We start from the raw sequence: 26,322 nt of genomic DNA, 5'->3' as shown, positions 1-26,322 counted from the left end.
AGTTTTAACTTGGAAAAGGAGAATCAGAGAAAGTTTTCTAAAGGCATTAGCCTTTGAATTAGGCTTTAAGAATGAGTAGGAATTAGCTAAATGATAGAAATGACTTATATTCTATAAGGTAGAGGGATTATTGGGCACATGGTCAGTGTTTCATTTTAGAACTAACTCTCTGGCAGTGGAGTACAGGTGGATGGGTATTGGGGGAGCAAGAGAGAAGAGAAAATATTGTTTAGGTTGGAAGTAAAGAGATCTGTTAGGATTCTGGGGCAGTAGCATAGATGAACAATAATGGAACCTGAAATAAAATATTTGCAACGATGATAAAGAGAAATTAATGAGTTCCAGCAATAATTTTAGCAGCAAATTGATAGTATTTGATGACTAATGTATGTAATACAAAAATATGAATAAATCTAAGATGTCTCAAGGTTTTGGTTTTGAGGACTAGGTAAATGGTGGTGCCAATAACCCAGTGTATTAGTCTGTTTTCACACTGCTAATAAAGACCTACTCAAGACTGGGTAATTTATACAGAAAAGAGGTTTAATTGACTTACAGTTTCACAAGACTGGGGAGGCCTCAGGAAACTTAGTCATGGCAGAAGGGGAAGCAAACATGACCTTCTTCACATGGCGGCAGGAGAGAGAAATGAGAGCCTAACAAAGGGGGAAATCCCTTATAAAACCGTCAGATCTTGTGAGAACTTACTATCATGAGACTAGCATGGGGGAAACCACGTCCATGATTTGATTACTTCCCACCAGGTCCCTCCCATGACACATGGGAACTACAATTCAAGATAAGATTTGGGTACAGACACAGCCAAACCATATCACCCAGTTAAGGAGAACAGGGGAGGTTGAGCTACCAGATGAGGTTTAGGAAATGGAGTCAAAGTAAACGGAACAAGATTAGGTAAGGTTAAGAGAATGAGGTTGATTGAAGTTGTGAGGACAAGGTCAGTTGAAGTCAAGGGAATGAGGTTAAAAGAAGGAGGATGGTTAAGGTCTGTAGGAGGAAGATGAGAGGACATGGTTGAGGTGAGAAGGATCAGAAGACAAGGCTTATGACATTTAGAGGCCGAGGTTGGTTGATGATGTTGAAAAGTCAAACTCAGGTGATCAAGAGTCAGTGTTTGGGTGAGGTTGAGTTCCAGTTAGGTAGAGAGGATGAGGTAATGTTGAGAGGAGTTAAGAGGTTGAGTTTTGTTCTTCAGGATTGAAAGGATAAGATTGTTTGAGGCTGATAGTGGTTGCATGGGTTGAGAGATTGAGGTTAGGGTGGTCAAGAGGGTAAATTGCTGAGGTCAAGGGGGGTTGACACTGTGGTCTAAAGGAACAAATTGGATCAAGAGAGGATGGGTTCAGTTGAGAAGTTTGGAAAAGGATGTAGAAAGCACAATATGGATTTGGGGTGACCAACCGTCATTGTTTGCTTGAGACAGTCCTGATTTTTGTACTGAAAGTTTGGCATCCCAGGAAAAAAAAATCTTGCTTCTCAGTAATGGATGTGCAAAGTTCATGGGAAAGTATAAGCCTAAAAAAGTAAGGGCTGGAAGCAACAGCTTTCAAGTTTTAGAAAATGATTTGGAATAGTTTATCTGCTGTCCCTAGTGGCTGTTGCTGTTTTTTTCTCATGAGTGCTGATTCTAACCACCAAGGATCCACAATAATGGGTCATACATTGTTGGATCACACCAAAAGATGTGATTTAAGTGTGCAATATAAGTACATTGCAATTGCGAGCAGTAAGTCTTCGACTTTGCCTGCCTGTTGTGCTTTGTAACAGATGGTGTTAATTTTTAACATTATAAATATTGTGACCGTGTTTTCTAAGATTAGATAATGAAAATGAGAACAATTATAATATCAGTGCCAGTATGATTCAGACATCACTGAAAAGGAAAGCTAAATGACTCTGTTACTTTAATGACATATGGAAGGACACATACAACTGGATTAAGGAGTTAAATAACCAAAACGGAGCATACTGCACAATACGCAAACAAGAAATTAGATTGGGCATGGTGGAGACAGGAATGTGAAAACAGATATGAAGACTGAATCTCACAGGTCCACGATGAGGCAGGCAAGTACTTATAAATCAATCATAAGTTTACTCATCTCCCCAAAATACAACACTATACTCAGTCTAAAATAGAGCTGCTGAGTTAGCTTGTGTATACCATACCAGTGAGAACATGCATTATCATATTGTTCTCTTGATTGCTCTATGAAACTGACTAAAGTGACATTTTTCTGATTCAGAGGTTAGAACTACTAAAATATCCTATGGGTGAACAAAAGGGGGACTGGTACCAGGTTTGTTGACCTCCTATGTATACTGTTAAATTTTACCAAGGATCGTGCTTTCTATAGTATATCAATGCTAAACAGAAAAATGGCACCAAGAAATGTCCACCTTAGCTCTTAGGTACTTGATTTAGAAAAAATTGACTTTCAAATTATCTTCTGGGGCCGGGCATGGTGGTTCACATGTGTTAATCCCAGCACTTTGGGAGGCCAAGGTTGGTGGATCACTTGAATCAGGAGTTCAGGACCAGCCTGGGCAATATGGTGAAGCCTCATCTCTGCAAAAAATGAAAAAAGTAGCCAGGCGTGGTGGTGCGTGCCCGCAGTCCCAGCTACTCGGAGGCTGATCTGGGAGGATTGATTTAGCTCAGGAGTTTGAGACTGCAGTGAGCTGTGATCGTGCCATTGCACTCCAGCCTGGGTGACAGAGCGAGACCCTGTCTCAAAAAAACAAGAGACCCAAAAAGCCAAATTATCTTCTGATTTCTTTGAAGATTTTAATGAAACCACAGAAAATGTAAAACCAAAAATTGTTCATTATCTTGTCAGTTGTTGCTTTTGCCGAGTTTTCTTTATGGGATACCAATCAGATGTGTGTTATATTCTTCATGCCCAACATTTCTATTATGATTTTTCAATGTTTTGTTTTCCCCTCATTTTTTTTTTGTACTTTATTTTGTATATTTTCTATTGTGTTATCTTCTAGTCACTAAACCTCTTTTTTGCTGTGTTCAATCTCCACATGAAGCCATCCCTTGATTTAGTGATTTCAGTTACTATATTTTTTAGTTTTAAAATGCATTTAATTCTTTATTACACATTCTAGTAGTCTGGAGAAATCTTCTATGATGCCATATTTTAATCTATTTTTTCCTTTGATATCTTGAACATATACAAATTATTGTTACTTAAAAGGCCTGTCTCCAACATAAGGATCACTATAGATCTGCTTTATTTTTCTCTTGTTTTTTCAGTTATATGATTCTATCTTTAAACATGCCTCATAATTTTTAAATTAAATACTAGACATTATTTATAAACAATTATAGAGGTTCCAGATGGTATTGTTTTCTTCCATAAAAGGCTTATCCTTTTTTCTGCAATGCAGATAGATTGAGGGCTGCTCCATCTTACTATCATCCAGGAGTGAGCCAGGTCCTGGCTTGACTTCAGTTAATTAAGACTTAGGCTATCCTCTCTGTTTCTTCACTATTCCTAGCCCCCAATCTGTCTGTATTGCAGAAAAAAGGATAAGCCTTTCCTGGAGGAAAACAATATCATCTGGAACCTCTATAGTTGTTTATAAATAATGTCCATGGACCTACATGGCTTTAAATTGATACTCCAGGAAATTCTGCTCTACTTTTCAGAGAATTTTCAACCTAGTGGTATACTTCTATCTTATGCAGTTCTAGAATTTCAAAACTGTTGCATGTTTTGATCTCTACTTTTTGTCATTATAGCCCTGTGTGGTGGTTTCTGTGACCTCCAGTAGCAGCCATCTGCCTGGTTTCAAACCTTTGTTCTTATCCTATGGGTTTACCAGGTGTGTCAAGGGTTTCCAGGGAAAAAATGGGCTTTCAACTCTAAGCTCTTTTGGAACCCTTCCTTTAGTGGGTCTTTATCTCTTAAACTCCAAGAGACTGCAGTAATAGCATTTTTTGGTTGATTATTTTGTTTTGCAAATTACTTTGACATTATTGGATAAATTTTAGATTATTGGATAAATTTTGTACAGAAAATAAAGATACAGGAAGAAAGTTTATCAAAGCATTATACAATAGAGTAGCATCTTAGGTAGAGGTTTGATTTTAATGTATGCTGGTAAGGCAGAAATTTCACACAATCAAAATTAGCACTAAAAATTTCTTTTAAATCACACAAAGTACAGATATATCTCTCAATAATACAGTCAGTTCCTCGTGCCCACCAACAGTAGGTCATTTGCTGTTTTCTTAGTTGAAAGCATATGAGGAAGTTAACTTGTATTGTAGGTTTGTGTTTTATCCCTTTTACATACATGCAATTATTAATATAGTAATTCATTATTTTATTTTTATTTATCTAAGTTGTTTTGTTGTGAAACACAATACAGAAACCAAGGAGTATATTGAACATACATGTACAATTTAATAAATTATCATAAACTGAAAACCCAAGTAACCACCATCTGTGTCAAAAAGTAAAAATTGTTAAGCATTCCAGACCCATTCTGTGTGCTGCTTCCTAATCTCTCCTCCTGCCGCTCCATGTCTTCCTCTTGGCCCTAGCATAAACACTACTGCGCTTTTTTGTTTTTGTTTTTGTTTTTTGTTTTTTTGAGACGAAGTCTCACTCTGTGGTCCAGGCTGGAGTTCAGTGGTGCAATCTTGGCTCACTGCAACTTCCGCCTCCTGGGTTCAAGCGATTCTCCTGCCTCAGCCTCCCGAGTAGCTGGGACTACAGGTGCATGCTACCACGCCCGGCTAATTTTTTGTATTTTTAGTAGAGACAGGGTTTCACTGTGTTAGCCAAGATGGTCTTGATCTCCTGACCTCATGATCCACCTGCCTTGGCCTCCCAAAGTGCTGGGATTACAGACATGAGCCACCACACCTGGCCCTACTGTGCTTTTTATAGTAATTACTTCCTTGGTTTTACCATTTTAGAATACATCCCAAAACCTTTGATTAATTTTCTTTGTTTTGAATTTTATATCAGTGGAATTATATATATTCTTTTGTGCTGACTTCTTTTATTCAATATTATATATGTGAAATTCATTTGTGCTTCAAATCTAAGTCAGGGATCAGCAAGCTTTTCCTGTAAAGAGCCAGATAGTAAATTTGAACTTCTGCATTTACTCAAGTTTGCTGTTGTAGTACAAAAGGCAGTCATAGACAAAGGTAAACAAATGAACATAGCTATGTTCATGTTTCCATTTTTATTTGTTTCCATAAATTTTAAAAATTTGGTCCTTTTTTTTTTTTTTTAACTCTTTGGTCATTCAGGAGCGTTGTGTATAATTTCCATGTATTTGTACAGCTTCCAAAGCTCCTCTTGTTATTGATTGCTATTTTTATTCTGTTTTGGTCAGAGTAGACACTTGATATGATTGATACTTTTTTGAATTTGTTGAGACTTTGTGGCCTAACATATGGTCTATCCTGGAGAATATTCCATGTGCTGATGAGAAAAAGTGTATTCTGCAGCAGTCTGATGACACATTCTGTAAATTTGTCTTAGGTCCATTTGGTCTAGGGTAGAGTTTAACTTTAATGTGTCTTTGTTGATTTTGTACCTAGATGATCTGTCCATTGCCAAAAGTAGGTTGTTGAAATCCCCCAATATTATGTATTGCAGTCTGTCTCCCTTTAGATTTGTTAATATTTGCTTTGTATATCTGGGTGCTCAGCTGTTGGGTGCATATATATTTACTGTTGTTATATTCTCTTGCTGAATTGACTCTTTTATCATTATATAATTTCCTTCGTTGTCTCTTTTTAGTTTTTGACTTAAGTCTATTTTATCTGATATAAGTATAGCTACTTCTGTTCTTTTTTTGGTTTTCATTTCCATGGAATATCTTTTTCTATTCCTTCACTTGCAGTTTATGTGTATCTTTATAGATGAGGTGAGTTTCCTATAGGCAGCATATACTTGGGTGTTATATTTTAATTCAGTGAGCCACTCTGTTTTCTAACTGGAGAGTGTAGTCCATTTACATTCACTGTTATTATTGATAGGTAAGGCCTTACTACTGCCATTTTGTTGCTTGTTTTCTAGTTGTGTAACTCCTCGCATCCTTTTTTCATTCCTTTTTATGTGATTAACTGATTTTTATCTGGTAGTATATTTTAACTTGTTGCTTTTTATTTTTAGTGTATCTGTTACGGATTTTTGCTTTGCAGTTACCTCAAGGCTTACAGAAAACATCCTATAGATATAACAACTTATTTGAAATGGATACCAACTTAACTTTGATTACAGAAAAAGGAAAAACCAAAATAAAAACCTATACACATTAACTCTCTTTCCCCCAACATGTTGAATTTTTGATGTTACAATTTATTTATTTTTGAGATGGAGTCTTGCTTTATTGCCTAGGCTGGAGTGCAGTGGTGCAATCTCGGCTCACTGCCACCTCTGCCTTCCAAGCGATTCTTCTGCCTAAGACTCCCAAGTAGCTGGGACTACAGGTGCGCACCACCACAACCGATGAATTTTTGTAATTTTAGTAGAGACGGGGTTTTGCCATGTTGACCAGGCTGGTCTTGAACTCCTGACCTCAAGTGATCCATCCACCTCGGCCTCCCAGGATGCTGGGATTACAGATGTGAGCCACTGCGCCTGGCCACAATTTACATTTTTGTATTGCCAATCTCTTAGCAAATTGTTGCAGTTACTATTTTTAATAGTTTTGTCTTACTAAAGATAAAAGTGATTTAAACATCATGATTGCAGTATTAGTATATCATGCAGTATTCTTATCTTTTAGTATGAAGAACTCTCTTTAGCATTTCTTTTGGGACAGGTCTAGTAACAATAAATTCCCTCTGCTTTTGTTTGGCAGTCTTTCATCTCTCCATTTCTGAAGGATAACTTTGCTGGATACAGTATTTTTGGTTGTTACAGTATTTTTGTTTGTTTTCCTCAGCACTCTAAATATATTGTCCCACTCTCTTCTGGCCTTTATAGTTTCTACTAAGAAGTCTGCTGCCAGGCATATGGATGCCCCTTCTATCATTTGCTTCACTTCTCTTATTGCTCTTAGCCTCTTATCTTTGACTTTGGTGTTTGAGAGTTTGATTATAATATGTCTTGGGGTATTATTTGGGTTGAATCTGATTGGTGACATTTTACCTTGCTTTTCCCAGATACTTATATATTTCTCCAGGTTTAGAAAGTTTTCTGTTATTATTTCTTTGAATAAGCTTTCTGCTCCTTTGTCTTTCTTAGTTCCCACTTTAACTCCAATAACCTGAATATTTGCTGTTTTTATGTTGTTCCATAGATCCTGTGAGCTGTTTATTACTTTCATTCTTTTTCCTTTTTTCTCTTCTTACTGTGTATTTTCAAATCGTTTCTCTTTGAGCTCACTGATCTTTCATCTGTTTGCTGAATTCTTCTGTTGATGCTTTGTAGTGCATTTTTTGTTTCATTCATTGTATTTTTCAGCTCCAGGATTTCTGTTTGATTTTTAAAAAATTATTTCAACCTCTCTGTTCAATTTCTCTGATAAATTTCTAAATGGCTCTCTGTCTTTTCTTGAAGTTTATTTAACTTCCTTGAAACAGCCATTTTCAGTTTTTTGTCTGAAAGATTACACATCTCCATCATTTTAGGGTTGGTTTCCAGTGCCTTATTTTGTCCATTTGATGAGGTCATATTTTCCTAAATGTTTCTGATACTCAAGGAAATGTGACAGTTTGTGCACATTGAGAGCCTCTGTATTTATCTTAGTCTGTGCAAGTCTGGTTTTGTTTGTGCCTGTCCTTCTTCAGAGGGTGTTCCAGGGATTCTAAGCACACTGACTGTTGTCTTCCCTGAGCCTGTGTCCACCTGAGCTGCCTCAGCCCTAGAGAGTGCCCAAAGCCCAGGCTTGCCGTGAGTCTTATGAAGGCTCCAAGGTTGGCATGGCTTTTTGGCCCAAATGGATCTGTGGAAGATCCAAGGTAGGTACTGGGGCTGTGTGGGAATGCTGACCAGGTACTTGAGTCCAGAAGACTGTCTCAGCGTACCAGACAAGCATGCCTCCCAACAGTTCTCTGCATAGGCAGGATGGGTTCTTGACTGTAGCAAAAGGGACTGGAGTTGAGACTGGACCCCTTCTGGATCTGCTGTGGGAAGGCTGATGATCCCCTCTCATTGCCACGGATGAGCATGTGTCACTTGGCAGGTCACTGCATCAGTGGGGTAGTTCCTCAACTTCCACAGGAGGGGCTGAAGCTGAGACTGAGCTGCCTCGGGATCTACTGTAGAAGAGAGGATGGCATGCCTGTCACATTGGCTCAGGTGGGTGTGCATTTCCCAGCAGGTCCCTAGACAGACAGGATAGTTCCCCAACTGTGGCAGGAGAGGCTAGAACTGAGACTGGGCCCCCCTGGGATCTGCTGTGGCCTGGAGGCTAGAGAGCTGGATCTTGTTGGCTCAAGTGGGGCACTTGTCTCCCTGGAGGATCCTGCGCAGACAGGATCGTTTCTCAACTACAGCAAGAGGGGCTGCAGCTGACGCTGGGCCCCCTCAGGATCTGCTGTGACAGGAGGTTGGCAAGCCCACAGGGGAGGCCTATACTCCTGGGCTGCCAGATATGTTGAGTCTCCCTTTGGGTCCTTGTGTAAACAGCTCTGAGCTGGGACCTGCAGCTGAAGGCTGGAGCAGAGCCACAGGGTCACTTTCAGGCTCACTGTCAAGACCAATATCATCAGGCAGACAAGCCTTTCTGTTAAGTCACTAGCATGTATGAGTCCTTCTGGACCTCTTGGCAGCTGGTTTTGGTTGTAGACTGAAGGCCAAATGGGGCTATAGCTAAGCCCGTTGAAGGACTGGGCTGTTTCCAGGCTTGAACTTAGAAGCAAGCTCAGTGGATCATCCACCTAGGTGTGAATGCATTCAAAACGACCTTCCTAGGTCTTTGGCTCCATCAGGGTTTGACAACCTCCTACCTGAATTCTGAGGTTCCTGCAGCAAGACTTTTTACTGTGGATAGGTGCAGGATTCTTGTTGCTATGGGGGGATATGAGCAGGTTACCTTCTATTCTGCCATCTTGGTGACATCCTGAACATTCCCATTCTTGTATGCTTTTCTCCTGTACATGTACAAAAAGGAATTGCTAGATTATAGGGTGTTGTATCATACTTCAATTTTATTTGATAATTCCAAACTGTTTTTCAGAATGACTATCCATCTATACTGTTACCAGCAATTTATTGTTAAGGCTCCAAATACTTTGTATTGTCAGTTTAATTTTGTTTTGTTTTTTAAAATCATTCTGGTGGGTGTGTTACGAATTGCTATCCAATTATGAGGTGAATTTAAATTTTCCATGGTGACCGATGAAGTTAATCACTTTTTATATGTCTGTTGGCCATTTTTGTATTCTATTTTGTATATTCATTTTTGTGATGTGTCTATTGAGGCCTCTTGCTCATTTTTTTCTACTGGATTATTGGGTTTTTTTCCTACTATTTTTTAGGAGTCTTTTTATGCATGCCAGATTATAAACCTTTTAGTCTTCACTTTCTTAATGGTATCTTTTGATAAACAAATTTTCTTAAGTTTAATACACTTGGTTGGGTGCCGTGGCTCACACCTGTAATCCCAGCACTTTGCGAGGCCGAGGCAGGTGGATCATGAGGTCAAGAGATCAAGACCATCCTAGCCAATATGGTGAAACCCCGTCTCTACTAAAATACAAAAAATTAGCCGGGCGTAGTGGCACATGCCTGTAGTCCCAGCTACTCGGGAGGCTGAAGCAGAGGAATTGCTTGAACCCAGGAGGCAGAGGTTGCAGTGAGCCGAGATCGTGCCACTGCTTTCCAGCCTGGTGACAGTGAGATTTCCATCTCAAAGAAAAAAAGTTCAATACAATATATTTTATTCTTCTTTTACTTTATGATTTTTAAGAAACATTTTCCCTACTCCAAAGTATAAATATTTTTCTATGTGAATTACTATAAGTTTTGATTTTTGCCTTTCATATTTGGGTCTACATTCTATGTGGAATTGATTTTTTTCTTTTTTTGTATGTGATGTGAGGAATATATTCTCTTAATAGATAAGAAATTGTGCAATCATCAAATATTGACAATCGCATTGTTTCGTGACTGCTCTTCTGTGCCTAATTTGTCATAAATCAACTGTTCATATAAGTTTTTAAGTCTGCTTCAGGATTCTCTGTTCTGTCGCATTAGTTTGTTTGCAAATTACATTGTGATTTCCAAATTAACTTCGCCTTTCTGGAATAAATTCAACTTGATCATGGTATGCTGTCTTTTTGGTATGTTGCTGAATTCTTTTTACACTAAGAATTCTGCATTTGTGTTCATATATGAAGCTGGCCTGTTATTTTTATTTTCTTGTGAAATTTGATATCAGGGTTATGCTTACCACATAATTCATACAGAGTGTTTGTTACACTGGCATTATTTCTTCCTTGGGAGAATTCACTGGCAAAGCCATCTGACCCTGGACTTTTCTTTGTGTGAGGTTATTCATTATAGATTTAATTCTTTATAGATTGTAAAACTATTCAGGTTGTCTATTGTGCCTTTGTCAGTTTTGGAAAGTTGTATTTTTCTATTAATCTGTCCATTTTATCTAAGTTTTCAAATTAATGGCATAAAATTATTCATATTATTATACTCTTTATTGCCTATAGAATTTGTGCTGTTGACCTTTTCATCTAAATACTCTTTATTTGTGACTTCTCTTTTTTCTCTTAATCAACTTCACTTTGATTAAAAATGTTTTTGTTTTGTTGTGCTTATTTCTTATGATGTTCTTTCAGTCTGAGGACTCATTGCTATGTAGTGGTGAATTCTTTGCTATTTTTATTTAATTATTGCTCTCCCTCCCCTTTATTTTCTAATTCTGGAACTTCTAGCTATGTGTTAGAACTTTTAGGTCTAGCTTTTGTAAAATACTTTTTTTCATTCATCTCATTTTTATCTCTTCATGCATTATTCCAGTGAAATCCTCTGGTTATGCTTCTATTTTACTTATTTGATCTTTGCTTTTTTGTAGTTGTTGTTTATTGATTTCAGCCATCATACTCTTTTTCCTGAAGGCTTTGCCACATACAGAAAGGCTTTTTATACAGTTAATATAGCATTAGCTCCTTTTTACCTCTATGGATTTTTTTTTTTTTTTTTTGGTAGATATCTACTTCTGGCCCATGGAAGGTATTCCTTTTTGTTTTCAAGTGCAGCATTATATTAGTATTTTTGTTATTTCTCCATAATATAATTTAGATTGGTGGTTAATAGTGTGAACTCTGGAGGCAGAGAACTAATACTTAAAGCCAAGCTCTGCTTCTTTGACATGTTATTCAAACCCCGTGTCCCATATTCCTTACATATAATACAGATCTCATGGATTTTGTGAGGATGAAACAAGATAATATATGTCAAAATGCCTCTCACATAACAAGTAATCAGTAGATATTAACTCTTTTTAGTTGAATAATGCTGGCAGTAGTACATTAGTTATCATTATGTGATCAGAGTAGATGGTGGAGATTTTGCCATGTGTTTGTATTTGGCTATAGTATTTCAGCCATCTCTTCTATAACTTAAAATTGAAAATTGAGTCTAACAAACAGACTTAGATAACTTATTACTTTTTTTCCTTTTCTACAGATGGATCCTGAGCTTGAAAAAAAACTGAAAGAGAATAAAATATCTTTAGAGTCGGAATATGAGGTACGGTATGTTAATATAGTCTCTGTCTTATAACAATCAGTTACTGGTTTTATCTGCCTTAAAAGTATTAGTAGTACAGAAAAAAATTACGTTGAATATATATGGTATTTGATAAACTATAATCATTTGAAAAGCAAATAAAAAGATGGATCCATACTTAATATACTACAAATAAATAAATTCCAGATGGATCAAGAATTTGAAAGTAAAAAACAAAATGCTGAAAGTACTAGGAGAATATAAATGGAGAATTTTGTTTGTTGTCTTGAGTCAAAAAAGCCTATTTAAATGTGATATAAAACCCAGAAGCTCTAAAAGTAAAGATCAATGGGTTCATACATACAAATTCAAAAGTTAAGAATGAAAAAAGTATATAAAGTCACAGATTACATGAGAAATCCTACAGATATAGTTTAATCTTATCATGGCACATTAATTTACTTAAATATGAAGACCATCTCCAAATCAATGTGAAAAAGTTCAACAATTCATTTGTTCAGTAAGAACATGGGAAAGCATAGCATGTAAAACTTTTGGACAAAAGGAAATAAGTATCATTCTTAAACATATGAAGAGATGCTCAATTTATCATAATAGGAATGTCAAAGTCTAACGAGGTATCACTTTTCACCCATCTAATTAGCAAAAATCAAGGAGTTTAACAGCACGCTATATTATGGGATGTGGTGAGGATGTTCTTCATGTCTTTGAGTTTGTCATTTTTTTGACTGGATTATATTTTCCTGTTTCTTTGTATATGTCTGGTCATTTTGTATTGAAAGGTAGTCATTGTGAATAATACACTGAAGAAAATTCTGAAGAGTGTTGATTTTTATTTTGACAATTTAATTGTTAGCTAATCACCTTAAACTTCATTTTGTGCTTTGTAGGGAAGTATCTGTTGAAGGGCTAGCTATCTTTCCTTGGCCCTTCTCCCTTGTTGGGACTCAATCTCCAGACTATCTCCCCAGAGAATCTTGTCAAGGCTTGGCTTTAAGCTTTGTTGGGGTGAGTCTAAAGAAAATCTTATCGCGCCACTGCACTCCAGCCTGGGTGACAGAACGAGACTCCGTCTCAAAAAAAAAAAAAAAAAAAAAAAAATCTTATTCTCAGGCATAATTTTTACTCCTGAAGAACAGTCCTTTTGGTGTCTTAGGTGGATGTCAGGGTAGCAACAAAATGTTAAAAGAAAGGTCTCCACTCTGGCAGGCCTGGAAACTCCATATTCTTGACACTGTTTTTTCTCAGCATTTCTTGACGCTGTTCCACACTCAGGCCTATACCAGTTGGCTGTGAAGTGTTATGTCTTGGGTGGTTTTTCTCAGCACATTTACATAGCCCATTCTTCAGCCACTGTGCACGTTTTGTAGAATTCTACAAGGAATCTCCTTCACCAAAGATCTGTAAAGGCTAGACTACTTTTACATGAACTTGTTATTTAAGAATTTTCTTCAGTTCTGTTAAGCATACATATCTTACGTTACCTGGATAATGGCCATTATTCTTTATTAAAATCTTTTAATAACTTTAGATCATTTCATAACTATACTTATGAAATAATCTAAATTCTTCTTGTATGCTAAATTAGTTGAATTTTGTTCCTTCATGTATATATGTAATACAGACTCCTGGTAAAACTATAAGTGAACAGTATTTTCATTTACTACTTTCCCATTGATTAAAAAAAAAAATCCTGTAACTTGCTAACTTGTAGTTCTACAAGTGCTATACCAGTAATGATGCTATGAAGAGTTTGTCTGGGAGTAGATTTTCCTTCTAGTTCTTCTAGGACCTGTAGAATTTGAGAGCTGAAGACTCTCAAATGTAGAGTATTTGGTCCAACCTTTTCATTGTTACTTATGAGAGAGTTAATGCCCAGGTGGCTTAAATTACTTTCCAAAGGTTATATAGCTAGTTAGTAAGAGAGTAATGCTTAGTATCCAAGTGTCAAGGTAAATTTATTCCATTTTCCCTGTCTCTGGATATAAGCTATCCTATGTTTTCACAGCTTTTTTTTTCCATCTTACTCAATTATTTCAGAACAACCAAAACAGCAGATATGTAAAAGTTAATGTCAGAGTGGTGGTCAGTAGGAGAAAGGTGAAGAAACATTTATTTCTTCCCTTTTATTCCAACTATTTTTGTGCTTGAGAGGTACTTCAGACTAAATGAAGGTAGGATGATCCATAATGTAGTTGCAGTTAGTTTCAGTTGCCCAAAAGTGTTTTGCTTATGATAGATAGCTGTAGGAAAGTCTTTTCATTCCTAAGCCCAGGCGTAAGACAAATGATCTTGGTCTCTTTTCTTTTTTGTAGAAGACTTTAGGGTCTCCACCCTTTGTTCTTTTCTTCTTATTTTCTACCATCATCCCTGATAACCCTTTCAGTCACTGTGCTGGATCAGCCTTCAGATTTGTACTTTTGTTTTCCCAGCTTCAGCCTTTTCCTTGTCCTCTCAAAAATAAGGCATGTAGACTCTTTCTCTATTTTAATAGTTTTACGGTTAAGGTGGCGTAAGATAGGCATTAACATCAGTAACAAATGAAAAGTTCTAAATCTTAAGATGACATTTCATCAATGATTGTAGTTGATTTATTTGCTACAGTTGTAATCGAGGACCTATCGGATACTTTCTACTCATTTATTCATTGAGTTAGTTGTGTCCTAATCAAAGCCACAGGCTCTTATACTAATATTTATACTTTAATTTTTTGTGGTTCTATAGAAAATCAAAGACTCCAAGTTTGATGACTGGAAGAATATTCGAGGACCCAGGCCTTGGGAAGATCCTGACCTCCTCCAAGGAAGAAATCCAGAAAGCCTTAAGACTAAGACAACTTGACTCTGCTGATTCTTTTTTCCTTTTTTTTTTTTTTAAATAAAAATATTATTAACTGGACTTCCTAATATATACTTCTATCAAGTGGAAAGGAAATTCCAGGCCCATGGAAACTTGGATATGGGTAATTTGATGACAAATAATCTTCACTAAAGGTCATGTACAGGTTTTTATACTTCCCAGCTATTCCATCTGTGGATGAAAGTAACAATGTTGGCCACGTATATTTTACACCTCGAAATAAAAAATGTGAATACTGCTCCAAAAACAGAGTCACGTATTCCACTCTCCAACTACCCACATATTCCTTTTGCAATAGCCATTAGGGCATCATTTTGATATTTCATTCTGATTTCTGATTCTCTGATTTCTGATTCCTAATGAGGACAGTAGGTCTGGATCCAAATTCTCACAGTAAAATCAAGCAGTAATTTTCTCTCATATCTATTAGGGAAAGAAAAATGATCACAGTCTGCTAAGAGTCTTGATTTTCTTTGTAATGCCTCACATAGTATGATAATCAGTCTCCAAAGCATCACATGATAATTACAATGATACCATTAACATGTCAAGGAAATTATATTATTTATGGTTGTCAAAAATTATGAAGTAGTGTATGATTATAAGCAGATATGGCAAATTTGTTCAGTAAATCCATAGATGACTACATTTTGAGAAATACTAAGATAATACTAAAAATTATGCCTTAGCATAATTTGCATGCAAAATTGCCCTCTAGTGTTTTTGTTTTGTTTTGAGACATAGTCTCGCTCTGTTCGCCCAGGCTGGAGTGCAGGGGCACGATCTCTGCTCACTGCAAGCTCTGCTTCCCGGGTTCACACCATTCTCCTGCCTCAGCATCCTGAGTAGCTGGGACTACAGGCACATGCTGTCACACCCGGCTAATTTTTTGTATTTAGTAGAGATGGGGTTTCACCACGTTAGCCAGGATGGTCTCCATCTCCTGACCTTGTGATCCGCCCACCTCGGCCTCACAAATTGCTGGGATTACAGGTGTGAGCCACCACGCCTGGCCGAAAGTTAGTTGTTTTGAACTCATTTTCTCCTTTTTACCCCTGCCTTTATCAGCTTCTACCTTCTGGTTTCATGCTGAGTTCTAGTTGCCTAAAGTCTCCATTGAAACACTCCTGTTATAATTGCCATAAAATCATAAATCCACTCCCCCTTTCTCCTCCTAGTCAAAATTTGTATTCTTTTCAGCAGGTTGGTTTTAATAAAAAGTAAATTAAGTTGATTATCTAGTGATAATTTGTGATAGACATGATTCATAAGATAGTTATCTGGGGGAGCAATTGGATTTCAGAGAAAAAAAGTCTCCACTTATTATTCACTCATTAAACAAGTAACTCAAAAAAGGATCATTGATTTAAATGTAAAACATAAAAGTATAAAACTTTTAGGAAAAACCACAGGAGAAAGGCTTCAACTTACCGAATAGCTCTTACCAAAGAATATTGATAAAAGAAAAACTTGACAGATTGACACATCAATATTACAAGCTTTTGTTTGCCAAAGGCCCTGTTAAAAGGATGAAAAATATAGACAGAGAAAACACATGTAAACCACATATCTGGCAAAAGACTCATACCTAGAGTAAAGAACTCTGTAAACTCAGTTAAAAAATATCCAATTAGAAAATGGGCAAAAAACATAGAAACATTTCACTACAGAGGATACACTGATAGCAAATTAGCTCTGAAAAGAATGTTTGACATCACTATGAAGGAAATGCAATTTTAGACTACATTGACATCACTAGACATCTATTAGAATACCTAAAAAAAAAAAAAAATTAGTGACAGTATGAAATGCTGGCCAGGATGTGGAGAAATGAAATCTCACATGGTGGTGGTATCATGTAAATGGTACAACTCGTCTGGAAAATTGGCAGTTTCTTTAAAAGCATAAGGGACTTCTGGTTTCCAGTTTGATATGTAAAAAGTTTGAAAAATTTAATTCCCATCATAACAAAGAAAAAAGCTGAACAACTAAACTCTGACTTTGAGTTGAAGTCACAGGACAAACTACCACCCTGAAAACTGGAGACAAAGGCAGGTCCAGAAAATCATATTTTACCTGGAGGAGCACCTGCCCAGAAACCACCACTGGAGCCAGCATTGGGTAGGAATATCTAAAGGTAATTGAATACTTCCTGGAGGCTGATCATGGACTAATTGAGAGAAAATCTCTTGAGAGGAGGCCAAGCCTTGTGTGGATTTGAGAAGGCACACTTGTGAGTTTTACCTCTAAGAGTCCCACCTGGTTTTCATAGTGAATATCAGAAAAATCCCCTTGTGCTTCTAGCAGATGTAGGTGAGAGTAACTATTCTGAAATAAGCCCAGAGAATTCTGTTTTATTTAATGTAAGCCTGGCCCCAAAGTAAACTCTTTTGCTAGAACCTAATTGCATTGGGTTTTACCAGTGCCTAGACAACTGGAGGAAGGGGAATAACCAACTCCAGCCTCCTCCAACCTTCCTGTTTTACCTAAATGGGGGTGAGGAGAGGTGGAGGAAGACTGAAAAACACTTGTGAATGTCCAGTCTGGGGACCTAGGCTTATTAAGAAGCCTAATCACAGGACCTATAGAATGCTCCCCACTGCATGTATTACCACCACATCACTAAAGACCTATTCACTCGAGTTCATTTTACCCGGTACATCACGTCCAACAGTCAACAAAAACGAAAGACAAAAAGCACAGTTTGAAGAGAAAATGAGCATCAGAATCAGATTCAGACATGGCAGGGATGTTGCAGTGATCACACTGGGAATTTAAAATATGATTAATATGCTAAGAGCTCTGATGGAAAAAGTATACAACGTGCAAGAACAAATGGGCAATAAAAGCAAAGAAATGGAAGAATTAAAAGGAAATTCTAGCATTAAAAAACTAACAAGAGAACAGTGACTTTGATGAGGTCATCAACAGAGTGGACAGAACTGAAGAAAGGGAGAAAAGTACATATAGTATGTTAACAGTAATCAAAAAGTTTGAGTAGTTATATTAATCTCAGACAAATCAGACTTTAGAGCACTGAAAATCATGGAAGAAGAGGGGCATTACATAATAATAAAGGGGGCCCACCCTCTCCAAGAAGACATAAAATTCTTAATGTATATACACTGAACAAAGCAGCAAAATACATGAGCAAAAACTGGTAGAGCTGCAAATATGTGAGAAATATAGGAATAGACTTACAGAGACACAATCCTCTTATCAGCAACTGACAAATCAAGTAGGCAGAAAATGATTGAGGACATAGTTGAGCACCATCAATCAGCTATATCTAATTGACATCTATAGCGTACTCCACAACAACAGAATAGGCATTCTTCTCAAGTTCAAACAACATTCATCACTATGAACAACCATATAACACACCTCAACAAATTTGAAAGGATAAAAATCATACAAAGTATGCCTTCAGACTATTATGGAATTAAACTAGAAATCAATGACAGAAAGATAGCTAGAAAATCCCAAAGTACTCATAGATTAAATGACACTCTTCTAAATAACACATGTGTAATGAAATTTAAATAAATTAAAGATATTTTGCACTAAATGAAATAGAAAATAAAACTTACCAAATTTGTTGGATGCAGCAAAAGAGGTGCTTTGAAGGAATTTTATAGAATTGAATGTGTTTAATAGAAAAAAATATATACATTAGAGACAGGGTCTTTCTCTGTTACCTAGGCTGGAGTACAATGCCACAATCATAGCTTACTGTAGTCTCAAACTCCTTGGCTCAAGCAACCCTCCTGCTCATCCTCACTGGTCATTAGAGAAATGCAAATCAAAACCACAATGAAATACCATCTCATGCCAATTAGAATGGCAATCATTAAAAAGGAAACTACAGATGCTGGGAACATCACACACCAGGGCCTGTTGGGGGGTGGGTGGCTAGGGGAAGGATAGCATTAGGAGAAATACCTAAAGTAGATGATGGGTTGGCAGGTGCAGCAAACCACCATGGCATGTGTATACCTATGTAACCTGACAAAAACAAGCAATGTGGAAAGGATTCCCTATTTAATAAATGGTGTTGGGAAAACTGGCTAGCCATATGCAGAAAACAAACTGGACCCCTTTCTTACACTTTATACAAAAATTAACTCACGACGGATTAAAGACTTAAATGTAACACCTAAAACCATAAAAACCCTAGAAGAAAACCTAGGCAATCCCATTCAGGTATAGGCATGGGCGAAGATTTCATGACTAAAATACCAAAAGCAATGGCAACAAAAGCCAAAATTGACAAATGGGATCTAATCAAACTAAAGAGCTTCTGCACAACAAAAGAAACTATCATCAGAGTGAACAGGCAACCTATAGAATGCGAGAATATTTTTGCAATCTATCCACCTGACAAAGGGCTAATATCCAGAATCTACAAAGAACTTAAATTTACAAGAAAAAAACAACCCCATCAAAAAGTGGGCAAAGGATATGAACAGACACTTCTCAAAAGAAGACATTTATCCAGCCAACAAACATGAAAAAAAGCTCATCATCACTGCTCATTAGAGAAATGCAAATCAAAACCACAATGAGACGCCATCTCACACCAGTTAGAATCACGATCATTAAAAAGTCAGGAAACTACAGATGGTGGAGAGGATGTGGAGAAATAGGAACACTTTTACACTGTTGGTGGGAGTATAAATTAGTTCAACCATTGTGGAAGACAGTGTGATGATTCCTCAAGGATCTAGAACCAGAAATACCATTTGACCCAGTAATCCCATTATTGGGTATATACCCAAAGGATTATAAATCATTCTACTATAAAGACACATGCATACATGTATTTATTGTGGCACTGTTCACAATAGCAATAGACTTGGAACCAACCCAAATGCCCATCAATGATAGACTGGATAAAGAAAATGTGGCACATATACACCATGGAATACTATGCAGCCATAAAAAAGGATGAGTTCGTGTCCTTTGCAGGGACATGGATGGAGCTGGAAACCATCATACTCAGCAACTAACACAAGAACAGAAAACCACTGCATGCTCTCACTGATAAGTGGGAGTTGAGCAATGAGAACACATGGACATAGGGAGGGGAACATCACACACTGGGGCCTGTTGGCGGGTGGAGGGCTAGGGAAGGGATAGCATTAGGAGAAATACCTAATGTAGATGACGGGTTGATAGGTGCAGCAAACCACCATGGCACGTGTATACCTATGTAACAAACCTGCACGTTCTGCAGAACTTAAAGTATAAAAAAAAAAAACATACTCTTAAAACTGTTTCAAATAAGAAATAAAGACAAAATTACAACAAATATTGAAGAGTCTTTAGGATATGTTGCAAATATGAATATATATGCCACTAATCATCTCCACGTAAGCAGTTCCTCTCCAGTAAATTTACATTGCAGTAAAAAGTGATGTCTCACAGTTCTCACATATTTTTTCATCATGTTTACTGCAATATCTTAAACCTTGAATAACACCATGGAACCCATAGAGTGCCACTAATTGATGCTCAAAGTACTCTAAGAAGCAGATAAAAGTCATGACATTATAATAAAAAGTTGAAATGCTTGATAGGTACCATAGATTGAGGTCTGCAGTGCAGTTGCCCACGATTTCAAGATACATGACTCCAGCATAAGGGCCTTTGTAAAAAAAAAAAAAAAAAAAAAGGAAAGAAAAAGAAAAAAAGAAAAATTGTGAAGCCATCACTGCAGCTATGCCAGCAGATGTGAAAACCTTGCACTTTTTGCAAACTATCTTTTTATCTCATTTTGAAATTGCAGCTTTTATGTGGTGCTGGGTTGCTATAAGAAAGACATACCTATAGACTAATATGAGTCAAGAGAAAGTGAAGTCATTATATGACAAAGCAAAAGGAAGGTGAAGAATCTAAAGCTGAAGAATTTGATGCCTGCAAAGGATAGTCTGATAATTTTACAAAGACGTTTGGCTTTAACAACAAAACAAAAAAAACAGTCACTCCCAGCCTGGCCAATAAGGTGAAACTCCATCTCTACTAAAAATACAAAAATTAGCCGGGCGTGGTGGTGTGCGCCTGTAGTCCCAGCTACTCGGGAGGCTGAGGCAGAAAAATCGCTTGAACCCAGGAGGCAGAGGTTGCAGTGAGCCAAGATCGTGCCACTGCACTCCAGCCTGGGCGACAGAGCGAGACTCCATCTCAAACAAACAAACAAACAAACAAACACTCACTCCTAAGTGTGGAAGTACACTGAGAGTTTCCTTGTTTGCTGCTTGACTGTCCTAATCATACTACAGCAAAGAGGTAGAGATAATGAGAAATAGTGCTCCAACCCTACTGGTCAGTTTCATAAGAGGCATCAGCCCAGGACTGGGTGTTTCATGGAGTATAAAGGGTAGAACTGAGTGTTGGCATATCATTTGATTCAATGGGGCCTAAAAAGCAGGGCACTTGGGAAACTGGGAGTTTGCGGAGACGTAGCCAAGTTGTCGCCTCCTTCTGGACTTCATTTTCTCTAACTGTACAACAGAAGGTGGGGTAGTAAACACCTACAGGAATGGCATTAGGATATGGTAAGACTGTAAGCACAAGGGCAGGGAATGTTTCTTTGAAATGTTCTGCCTCATTTCTCTTCCTCTCCTCTCTCTCTACCACAACAGCAAAGCTGAGCTGACCTGATGTGGAAGGTATTTTTCTTGGGCTTTCCAAGATCCTGGTAAGGTGTTAACATTTCAGTTTAAGATGTGGATTTCTTTTGTTTTTGAAAGTCCATGGGAACATTTAAATTTACAATGCAGTTAATTGGTTGTTTCCTACCACTGTCTTTGAGTTCCCCACCCTAAAAAAAATTTACTTCAATACAAAGTATTAGTAATCAATGTAACATTTACTAATAATTTCATAGGGAAGAGAGGAGATGGTTTATACTGTACCACACAAGAAGTAACTCAAGAAATCCCCCTATCGGCTGGATGCGGTGGCTCACACCTCTAATCTGGCACTTTGGGAGGCTGAGGCGGGTGGATGACTTGTGGTCAGGAGTTCAAGACCAGCCTGGCCAATACAGTGAAATCCTGTCTCTACTAAAAATACAAATTAGTGCTCACACCTGTAATCCCAGCACTTTCGGAGGCTGAGGCGGGCAGATTGCCTGAGGTCAGGAATTCGAGACCAAAGACCAACCTGGCTAACATGGTGAAACCCTGCCTCTACTAAAAGTGCAAAAATTAGCTGGGTGTGGTGGTAGCTGGGTGCCCGTAATCCCAGCTACCTGGGAGGCTGAGGCAGGAGAATCGCTTGAACCCAGGAGGCGGAGGTTGCAGTGAGCCGAGATCATGCCATTGCACTCCAGCCTGGGCGACAAGAACAAGATTTTGTCTCAAAAACAAAAACAAACAAACCCAAAAACACACCAAACAAACAAAACAAAACAAAACCACACAGCCCGGTTTGGTGGTGGGTACCATAGAGACTGAGGTAGGAGAATCGCTTGAACCTGGGAGGCGGAGGCTGTGGTGAGCCGAGATTTCCCCACTGTACTCCAGCCTGGGTGACAGAGCAAGACTGTCTCAAAAAAAAAAAAAAGTTCTTATCAAAATGTCACACCTAAAACAATATTTTAATAACATTACTCAGTAGTCTGTTCAATTAGTAGCAATAAATTCTGTGTGGGTGGAAGGATCTATCTAAATGTTTTTGTATATCTCTTTTCTGCAAACAGTGAAGTTCAGTGGAAAACCATGTAAACTGGTAGCCCTGAATTGGACTCTGGACTTTGTCACTTACAAACTGTGTAATCTTACACAAATTACATAACCTCTTTGAGTTCCAGTTGCCTCATCTGCGAACTGCAGTTTTGACTGTGTCAACAGTTGTGTGACTGTGTGAGGTATACATGGAACTCAGTGGAGAGACAGGAAAGATAAGATAGGTAATAAAGGAGTAGTATTGATCAGTACAAGGAAAATAGTCTGCTTACAGATGATAGATTGTTCTACAAGCATTGCTTCATATAATACTGTTTTTTTAAAAAAAATTTCTGGTTTTCTGCCTTTTGAAACTTAAACAATGTTTAGCCTACTGTAATCATTACTAGAATAATAGAAGGAGAGTGGACAAAAGGTTTCTGAAATAGGACTTTCAGTTGGATGACATTTGTGTGCATTCCTTTTGTGAGAGTGGAGACCAGATTTTGAGGATGGACTTTGGTCTATGATACTCCCAACGGAAATGATCCTGGTCTGGGCAAGCCTTCAGGAGTCACTGCTCACTCCACAAGAGGGTGCACAAAGACCACACAATACTGAGTTTTGAAGCCAGAACTCTTAGATGATGTCCAACTTTTTCTAGGGCCTTGCCCTCCACAGGGAGTCCCATAATCAAGAATCCTGACTTGTTCTCTCTGCATTTTCCCTTTAGATGCTGTGAGGCCAGAAGATTCCTGGCTGGATGAACTGGCTCCTCCAGCTACTGTATCTTCTTTGTGCAGAGCTGCCTCCCTCAGGGGTGGCTGATGCCTGTAGTCCAGCAGAGCCTCACAAACCCTGGACCCCAAAGGAACTGCTCAGGAACCCTCAGGGTTCCCAAAGGAACCCTGAGGAACTGCTAATCACCTGTGTCTGAGCTGGGCTCTTCTGTCTTCTTTCAGCTATTTCCTCCTGCCTTCATCCTTTTTGCTCAACTTTCTCTGATTGCTTCTCAGCTCCCTTTTCCTTGCCCAGGTATATCAACCACAAGAAACCAGGGCTCCCCTGCGTCAGATGTCTCTAGGCAGTAATAATCAAATCCTCCTGCTGGTCCCTTGGACTGCCTGCTTCACAGACATACTGACACAAAACACAAACATACACACACACACACACACACCAGCTACAAATCCTCCTGCTGGTCCCTTGGACTGCCTCCTTCACAGAAATACTGACACAAAGACACAAACATACACACACACACACACACACACACACGTGCATGCTAATCCCTCCATGGTGGCCGGTGTGTGGGAAGGGGCCATCTGGGACAGTAGCCTTGGGAGGCAGCTGTGAGGCCTGACCTCAGCATAAGTCTCAAGTCTGTGCCACACCTGAAGGGGGCATATTTACTCCCATGCACCGAGGATACGATGTCAAATAGCATTGCCCTGGACCTGGGCAGTCTTTCTGGGGCAAATCAAAGTTTTCCTCAGGTGCTAGGAAAACAAGAAACTCCAAAGCCAATGCTGGCCACTGTGTGTGAGAAGATACCCAGCTTCCAGAAATCCTAGCACTCTGCTGGCAAAGTCCCTGCAGTAACATTCTTCCAGGCTTGTTTGATGATTTTTATGGCAGGGGGTCTGGGTGAGAACACTAATTCAATTGTAGTATAACTCTGTTTAAACACACAGAAAAAAGAATCTTGACAAAACCCTCTTTCTTGGACTTCACAACACTGTGAAGCACAAACTGCCCCAAGGGCAGCCTTGTCTGCCCCACCTGCTAGATTCCCCTTCCCATCTCATCAAGGCGGGGCAAGAAGCCACTACAGTTGTCACCTCTCTTCTCTTCCTTTGCTATGCTATATTAATTGCTTGTAATGTGAGCTTTCTCTGAAGTTTGGGTATGTGAAGGTCCGAGAGGCCTGTACTATACCATTTCTTGGGCTCAGGACACAGTTCCTGATGTGGCTCAGAAAATACACTAGTCCCTACAGTTCACTAGGAAAAAAAATCTAGGTTTGTTATCAATTTCCCCCAGAAAATAATCTCAGCTTTTCCTACAACAGATACAGGGCCTATATTTATTAAAGAATGAGAGAGTTACAAAATGTGAAATTGAGAAAGAAACGTAGAGATCACCCATCCTAGACCAAGGGTCTCACTTTACAGAAGACGAAGATGAGGCCTGAAAAGAGAGGTGACTTGCCTGAGGTCCCATAGCTGGTTGGTGGAAGATTCTGGGCTGAAACCCAGTTACCCTGACTACCAGGTGAAGACAGTCTTGTTCACCTCAGTTTAAAGTGTTGTGTAGGAGCCAGTTAATTTTTTTTCCAATAAAGTCTGTATGTCTCTATTTGTGAATGTGGCTGAGAATACGAGGCCCTGAGAAGAGATACAATATCTCTGGCATTTATAACCATGCTTGGCAGGTACATGCTAAGAAAATATTTATTGAATGAATGGATGGGCCTGTGTGAACGCAGAGAAAGGGAGTGGCTATATGCCTAATATTACCCATGACTCAAGACCCAACAAAAGCAGACAAGTCAGGGACATACAGATATCAGGAGCACATTTTTTCCACTGGGTATGAAGCCTGAGTGAGGGAAGGGAGTATCTATTTATAAGTGATGTCTGAAAGCTTCATGTGTGCTGAGAGTCCAGTCTATGATCCCAGGATTAGACTTAACTTTCTTGGGCTCCATTTCCCTAATGTTCCTTAACATTAAGTAACTAGAGTGTATCTCCCAGATTGTCCCAGATCTATGTCAGGCCACAGACCTCAAGGGGGGAATGGATTTCACAGGAAAGTCATCTTATCTTGCGATGGTGTGCTCTTTGGGTGGTGGGTCCCTGTAGTGGGTAGAACGCCAACATTTCCACCTCTTAGCCTCTAACACATCTATTCCCAATCCCAAGCTTCATTTCTCCCTTTCCTCTGTTCACAAAAGTTCATTCTCTGGACTGAGAACTTGGAAGAGAGATGCAGGATTCAGTTTTGAATTGCGTGTATCTCGTGAAATAATCTTGGTATAACAAGTGAACTATTTAAATTCTTAGCACCTGTCTGGACATTTATTTCATTTCATATACCAGTCCATATCCAGTAACAAAGTATTGAAATCCTGTAACCATTTATTCTTCTCTTATCTGCTATAGAAAATATCTCCCCAACCTCCGCCAAAGAAGCTGGTTACTTAAACTGCATTTCATACTTCCCTCCCTGGACCACCCTCCACCACTTAGGAATACATCTGCCACAAAGCTCCAGCGCTGCTGCATCAGATAGAAAACAGGACTGGAAGAGGAGGGCCAGCATAAAATGGCCCTTCTCTTTTGGGTATTAGGTTCCAGACACTTGACAGGTTCCCTAAGGATTGCTAGGCAGATTCTGCTGCTTACTTTCAGTATCAAGGAGCAGGCTTGGCCTGGGTCCATAATCCCTAGAATGAGGAACTCTACCATCATGGCTGGAGAGCATCTCAGGTGCGGAGCCAAATTATATTGTGTTTCTCTAGACATGGGAATTAACCGGAGTTAGTCTTATCTTTGTAAAGTAAAAACCAGATGAACTACAAGTTCAGATACTCCCACTCGCCATAATATGCACTGAATTTTGTATGCAGAATGGGTTCACTTAAGTTCTCTATGATCTTATCACTTAACGGATAACATGCTTGTGAACCCCAAAAATCTGAGACAGGTCTCAGCTAATTTAGAAAGTTTATTTTGCCAAGATTGAGGATGCATGCCCATGACACAGCCTCAGGAGGTCCTGAAGACATGTGTCAAAGGTGATCAGAGCACAGTTTGGTTTTATAAATTCTAGGGAGACATGAGACATCAATCAACATATAGAAGATAAACATTGGCTCGGTCTGGAAAGGCGGGACAACTCAAAGCAAAGGCGGGAGGACTCAAAGTGGGGAGGGGGCTTCCAGGTCATAGGCAGATAAGGGACAGATGGTTGCATTTCTTCTGAGTTTCTGATTAGCCTTTCCAAAGAAGGCAACCAGATATGCATTTATCTCAGTGAGCAGAGGGGTGACTTTGAATAGAATGGGAGGCAGGTTG

General features: G+C 38.6%; 2 protein-coding genes and 1 long non-coding RNA gene across 8 annotated transcripts in view; 2 read left to right on the top strand and 1 right to left on the bottom strand.

Moving 5' to 3' along the window:
- Positions 1-15,807, top strand: part of SYNJ2BP-COX16 (SYNJ2BP-COX16 readthrough) — a 92,010-nt gene extending 76,203 nt beyond the window's left edge. For all 3 annotated transcript variants that reach the window (NM_001202549.2, NM_001202548.2, NM_001202547.2), the window contains 2 exons: positions 11,652-11,714; positions 14,439-15,807. In NM_001202549.2, coding sequence (NP_001189478.1) covers positions 11,652-11,714; positions 14,439-14,555 — 180 coding nt within the window. In that variant the 3' untranslated portion in view covers positions 14,556-15,807. The remainder of the gene's footprint in view (positions 1-11,651; positions 11,715-14,438) is intronic.
- The window catches only part of COX16 (cytochrome c oxidase assembly factor COX16), a 34,603-nt gene extending 18,796 nt beyond the window's left edge, over positions 1-15,807 (top strand). For both annotated transcript variants that reach the window (NM_001204090.2, NM_016468.7), the window contains 2 exons: positions 11,652-11,714; positions 14,439-15,807. In NM_001204090.2, the coding sequence (NP_001191019.1) occupies positions 11,652-11,714; positions 14,439-14,555 (180 nt within the window). In that variant the 3' untranslated portion in view covers positions 14,556-15,807. The remainder of the gene's footprint in view (positions 1-11,651; positions 11,715-14,438) is intronic.
- Positions 15,808-25,650: 9,843 nt separating this feature from the next.
- Positions 25,651-26,322, bottom strand: part of LOC101928046 (uncharacterized) — a 60,419-nt gene continuing 59,747 nt past the window's right edge. For 2 of the 3 annotated variants that reach the window (XR_007064236.1, XR_943989.1), the window contains one exon: positions 25,657-25,762. This is a non-coding gene — a long non-coding RNA (uncharacterized LOC101928046). Of the gene's footprint in view, positions 25,763-26,322 lie in introns of all 3 variants that reach the window. The other variant, XR_943988.2, reaches the window with a different exon arrangement.

This window comes from Homo sapiens, chromosome 14 (genome assembly GCF_000001405.40).
Source record: "Homo sapiens chromosome 14, GRCh38.p14 Primary Assembly".
Taxonomy (NCBI): Eukaryota; Metazoa; Chordata; class Mammalia; order Primates; family Hominidae; genus Homo; species Homo sapiens.
Note: the sequence above shows the minus strand (reverse complement) of the source record. Positions and strands in the feature narration are given on the sequence as shown.